The following is a 6,010-nucleotide window of genomic DNA, read 5'->3' on the forward strand; positions in this document are numbered from 1 at the left end:
GTTAAACCTCTGTGAAGGGAACAGAGCCATTTACCTGCAGGAAATAGAAAGAGGTGGCAGGGTCTTGGAAGAAGCAGATCCAACAGTTTCATATTTGCACTTAGCTTCTGATGAGAGTATCCCGGATGAGCCCCAGCTGAAACAAGAAAGTTACCTTTTCCCCGTCACAGGGAATGTGACAGGGGTGTGGCTCACTTCTTCGGTGCCTTGCTGCTCAAACCCCTAGGGGGAGCATGCAGATGGGCACATGCACAGGTTGTGGGGAGCACTTTTGAGCTCTGACCCCACAGTAGTGTCTAGGGGGTGAGTGTTTATGACTCCTGAAGCCCAAGTGGGCATGTGTTACGGTTTTTTTTTACAGTGCTGTTTCGGCTTTGCCATCTGCATACAGCTTGTGTTAGTCAGCTCTATTAGACCCTCTACTTTATCGCAAGGGCAGAGAGCTTTCTATATCCTGAGTTCTTGCCCAGTGCACCAAAAAAATCGGATTACACATGGGCTTGGAGGGTGAGTGCAAGGTTTTATTAAGTGGTAGAAGTGGCTCTCAGGGAGACAGATGTGGAGCCAGAAAGGGTATGGAGTGGGAAGGTGGTCTTCCCCTGGAAATGGGCCGCCCAGTGGCTGGCCTCTCCTCTGACTGCCCCTGGCTGACCAACCCTCAGCGTCTGCATTGTTCCACCGTCGCTGGTCAGCCAGCACCTGCTGGTGTCTGCCGGTGTGTCCCTCTGCTCTTCTCGATGTCCAGCCACTTGCGTCTGTGCCCGCTTAAGGTCTCAGGTTTATATGGTCACCAGATGGGGGGCGTGGCAGGCCAAAAGACAACTTTTTGGGCATGAAACAGAAATGCCTATCCTCATTTCGGTTCATGGGCACAGGCCCAAGGGTGGAGCCTTTGCCAGGGACCCATGCCTTTCTCTACCCAGCACTTCCCTGCCCCCCTCCTGTATCATTAGCAAGTGTGAAGTGGTATTTCATTATGGTATTGATTTGCATTCTATTAATGACTAAAGATTATAAGCATTTCTTTATATGCTTATCAGTATTTTGTACACGTACTTTGAATAAATATCTAGGGAAATCTCTGGTCCACTTTTAATTAGAATATGTCTTTTTACTGTCAAGCTGGAACAATTATTTCTATATTCTGGATATGTTTCTTATTAGATATATTATGTGAAAACATTTTCTCCAATTCTTTTGGTAGCCTTTTAATTTTTTTCTTTTATTACATTTAAAATTTTTTTGTGTGTCTCTCCCTATAAGGATAATCTTTTAACTTTCTTGATCATAATCTTTGAAGCATAAAAACAAATTTAGATAAAGTTTAATATTTTGTTGTTTTATTGTGTGTGCTTTTGGTATCATAGCTAAGAAACAGTTGTATAATCCAAGATCGTGAAGATTTACATTTATGCTTTCTTTTAAGAGTGTTATAATTTTAGCTAATAAGTATAGTGTTACCTGCATTTTTTCCTAGATGTCTTTTATCAAGTTTGGAAAACTTCTTTATTTTCTACTGTGTATGTGCTTTTTAAATTTTTTAAATGTTAGATTTTCTTCTGCATCTTTTGAAATTTTTATGTATTACTGTCTTTTATTATAATAATATGCTATAGGTTGACATTTATATATTAAACCAACCATGCCTTTTTGGGACAAAACCCATTTGATTATGATTTTTAATTATTTTTACATGTTCTTGAATTCAATTTGCAAGCATATTGTTGAATATTTTTATTTCCACATTCATAATAATATTTGGCTGTAGTTTTAATTACTCTTCTGCTTTGGTTGTATGTGTGAGAAATATCTTTGACTAGTGCCGGGATCAGGGTAACACTGATCTCCCAGAATGAGTTATGAAGTGCTCCATCCTTTTTTTTTAAGACTTGTTAAAAATTAGTATTACTTCTTCTTTAAACACTTGTTAGTATTTACCAGAGAAGCCATCTAGTATTGCACCCCTTTTTGTGGGAAGTTTATGATTGCTAATCCAATCAGTTTAATTGTCATGGGTCTATTCATATTTTTAAATTATTTGAGTCCGTTTGGATAATTTGTAGATTTCTAGGAATGTGTCCATTACACATTCTATTACCTATTTGTTGACATGCAGTTGTTCTTATTATACTCTATGGTCTTTTTTATTTCTGTAAAGTTGTGGTAAAGTACCCTTCTTCATTCTTGATTTTAATAGTTTCAGGTATCTCTTTTTTTATTGATTTGGTAAAGTTTTGTCAAATGTGTTAATCTTCCAAACAATTGACAGTTTCTTTAATTTTTTATTGTTTTCTGTTCTCTATTCTATTACTTATCACTCATGTTTATTATTTCCTGTCTTCTACATGATTTCGGTGTAGAACGCTATTTTTTTGGTTAAGATAAGACGTTAGGTTATTCATTTGACATCTTTCTTGTTTTATAATGTAGGTATTTACAACTATAAATTTCTCTCTGAATACTTCTTTCATTTTATCCCATAGGTTTTAGTCGTTTGTGCTTTCTTATTTATTCATCTTAAGGTATTTTGGAATTTCCTTTTGATTTCTTAGTTGTTTCGTTGCTTATTTCGAATTGTGTTGTTTTATTTCCACATATATATAAATTTCCCAAATTTCCTTCCACTATTAATATCAAATTTAATTCTTTTGTGTGTACAAAGAACATACCTTGTACAACTTTTCTATTGTACATTTATTGAGACTTGTTTTATTGCTTAACATATGGTTTATCTGGAAAAATTTTCTTGTGCTCTTGAGATGTATATGTAAACTTCAGTAGTTCAATGAAATGTTCCAGATATTTGTTGGGTATAGTTGCTGTATAATATGTTTAAGTTTTTTATTTACTTGTTAGTCATCTATAAATTTATTCTATCCATTATGGAAACTGAAATATTTACATTTTCAGGTATAATTTTATTTTATTTCTTTCTTCAATTCTATTAATTTTCATTTCATGTATTTTGGGGGGTCTGTTTTCTATAATTTTTATATCTTCTTGATGTATTGACACTTTTTTCAGACAAATTGTCCTGATTTGTCTTGTAAAACAAATACTATCTTAAATTATAGTTTGTATGGCATTAGTATAGCCACAACAGTTTTCAATTATTGTTTTAATGATATATGGTGAGCATCTTTTTACTTTCAGCCTACCTACACATATTTAAATGGAAAAAATGTCTTTTGTGGGTAGCATATAGTGGCATCATTTAAAAAAATCTAGTCTACTAATCTATGTCTTTTAATTGAAGTGCTTAATCTATTTATATTTAATATAGCAACTGATATTAGGATTTATGTCTGCTATTTTGCTGTTTGTCTTTCATATATCTGATTTTTTTCTTCTTCTCTTCTTCCATGGTTGCATTATTCTATGTTAATTAGATAATTTCTATTGTTCTAAATTAATTTTGTCTTTTTAATTTTTTTAGTATAGCTATTGAATGTGTGTGTGTGTGTGTGTGTGTGTGTGTGTGGTGTTATCTTAGGGATTACAATTAACCACATTAATTTATAACAATATAGTTTGCATTATTACAAACTTAGATTTAATAGTATACAAAACTTTGCTCCTATATAGCTCCATTGCCGCTCCCCTCCTTTGTCCTGTTACTGTCATGTGAATTATGTCTTTATTGTGTGGCCATCAACATAGATGTATAATTATTTGTCTGTTTAATCAGATAGATAAAAATGCAAACAAATATATTTGTACATAGTCTTTTATGTAATTATCTCTATCACTATTCTTTATTTCTTGATTTGGATTCAAGTAGCTGACTAGTATTCTGTCATTTCGGCCTGAATGATACCTTTAGTATTTCTTGTAAGGCATATCTGAATGATGACTTCTTTGTTTTTATTTATGTAGAAGTGACTCAATTTTTCCTTCATTCTGAAGTATAATTTTTCTGATTATAGAATTCTTCATGTGTAGTCATTTTTTTTTTTGCAGCGTTTTTAAGATGCCATTTTATTGCCCTTTGCTCTCTGTGGTTTTTAGAAGACATATTGGCTGCAAATTCTATTGAGAGTCCGTTGTATGTGATAAGTTGTTTCTCCCAGCTGCTTGCAGGATTTCTGTTTATCAGTGTCTTTTAACAGTTTGTTATAATGTTTCTGGGTGAGATCTATTTGATGGCATCCAATCAAATTTCATTGAGCTTCTTTGATGAATAGATTAACGTTTTCAGCAGTTGTTTTTCTCAAATATTTTTTTCTGTCTCTTTATCTCTTCATTTTTTCTGTGTCTTCCTTTATGCATATGTCAGTACACTTGATGGTGGCTCTCGGGTTTTTGAGGCTCAGTTTATCTTATGTTTATATTATTTTTACCTTTCCTCCTTCAGGCTGGATAACATAATTGTTATACTTTCAAGTTTTCTGATTCATTCTTCTTCTTGCCTAAATCTGCTGCTGAGCCACACTAGTACATTTGTAATTTTATTTACTGAATTTTTCACTCCAGAAATTAATTTTTCTCTTTTTAAAAGCACTTTAATCTCTATAGTCTTTCTGGGTAACAAACACATTGTTCTTATGCTTTCCTTTAGTTCTTGAGAAATGATTTTCATTTGTTCTTTGAATATTTTTAATAGTTGATTTTAAGCCTTTCTTTAATAAGTCCACTGAGTTTTCTCAGTGACAGTGTATAATTACTGCTTTTTCCCTTGTGTCGAACATACTTTGTTTATTTGAATGTTTTGCTTGTAGTTGAAAATTGGACATTCTAAATAATATAGTGTGGTAACTCTAGAAATCATATTCTCTTCCCTTCCCAAGTTATGTTGTTGTTTCTGGTTTTTTTGTTGTATTCGCTTGCTTAGTGAGTTCCGGAATTCTCTAATGTTTGTATTCTGTCTTGGCACTGACGTCTACTTTGTTGGCCTAGTGGTCAGCTAATAAATGGATAGTAATTTCCTTAAATGCCTGGAAGAAAAATACATCTCTTTGTCTTTACCGAGTGGCTCTGTGTTCATGTTGAAGCATACTGTGAGCAATCAGCAATGAAGCTTGGCCTTTCCTTTCTATTTGTGCAGAGTCTCTAGGAGCCAGATGTGAGAGATCAGGGCATTCTCACTTATTTTCTGAACAGATGCATCATTATGGGCATGTATAAATCCCTATATATGCATGTGGCCTTATAGATAACCAGCAATAAGTAGCTGCTCATTAAAGCCCATATAAACTTGTCATGACCAAGCTTTCACTTTTAAGCTTTTAGATTAGCCTATTGTTTGCCCAAACTTTTATTTATAACCTCAGGTCATGCCGAATGATATTTTAAAAATTGCCACTAATTATTTTCAACCAATGTGCCTACAGAAAAGGCTGTTAGTACTGGGCAAGCTCCAAGTCAGGTCAAATAAAGACCTGAGTCAGGAAACCCTGAAAGTGTGCGCTTCCAGGGAGCCACCAGATAAGTCAAACAAGGACAATTCTCTGGAAATGGTGCTTTGAAGAATCTCCAACATCATTATACCCTTTCATTGGTTTCCAAGCTTTTGGTTTTCAACATGATTGCAGGATGTTGATTTTCAAGGCTATCATTGAAACTGTCCCTATAAACTATAAAATTAATTAGGGGGTCAGGTGTGGTGGCTCATGTCTGTTATTTCAGCACTTTGGGAGGCCAAGGAGGATGAACTCCTGAGCTCAGGAGTTCAATACCAGCCTGGGCAATGTGGCAAAAGCCTGTCTCTACAAATAAAATTAGCCAGGTGTGGTGATGCACACCTCTTGTCCCAGGTACTCAGGAGGCTGAAGTGAGAGAATCACCTGAGCCCAGGAAGTTGAGGCTGCAGTGAGCCATGATTGTACCACTGCACTCCAGCCTGGGTGACAGACTAAGACCAACCCTGTCTCAAAAATAATAATAATAATAATCAGGGAAGAAGAGAGGGAGAGAGACAAAAATAGAGCAAGGTTGCAGCACATTCAGCATTAATCATTAGGTCGGCTTTCCCTCTGATCTGCTTCCTCATAGTTGTTTGGTGCCTGTTGTC

At 35.0% G+C, this 6,010-nt stretch overlaps 1 annotated feature.

Annotated features, from left to right (window-relative positions):
* Window positions 550-758: a silencer, noted in NCBI's record as "fragment chr11:97482377-97482585 (GRCh37/hg19 assembly coordinates)". NCBI's record gives its function as "represses an EF-1alpha promoter that drives an FKBP-Casp9 reporter gene in an ReSE screen in K562 erythroleukemia cells {active_cell/tissue: K562}" and the evidence as "EXISTENCE:reporter gene assay evidence [ECO:0000049][PMID:32094911]".

The sequence above is a fragment of the Homo sapiens genome, chromosome 11, assembly GCF_000001405.40.
Source record: "Homo sapiens chromosome 11, GRCh38.p14 Primary Assembly".
NCBI lineage: Eukaryota > Metazoa > Chordata > Mammalia > Primates > Hominidae > Homo > Homo sapiens.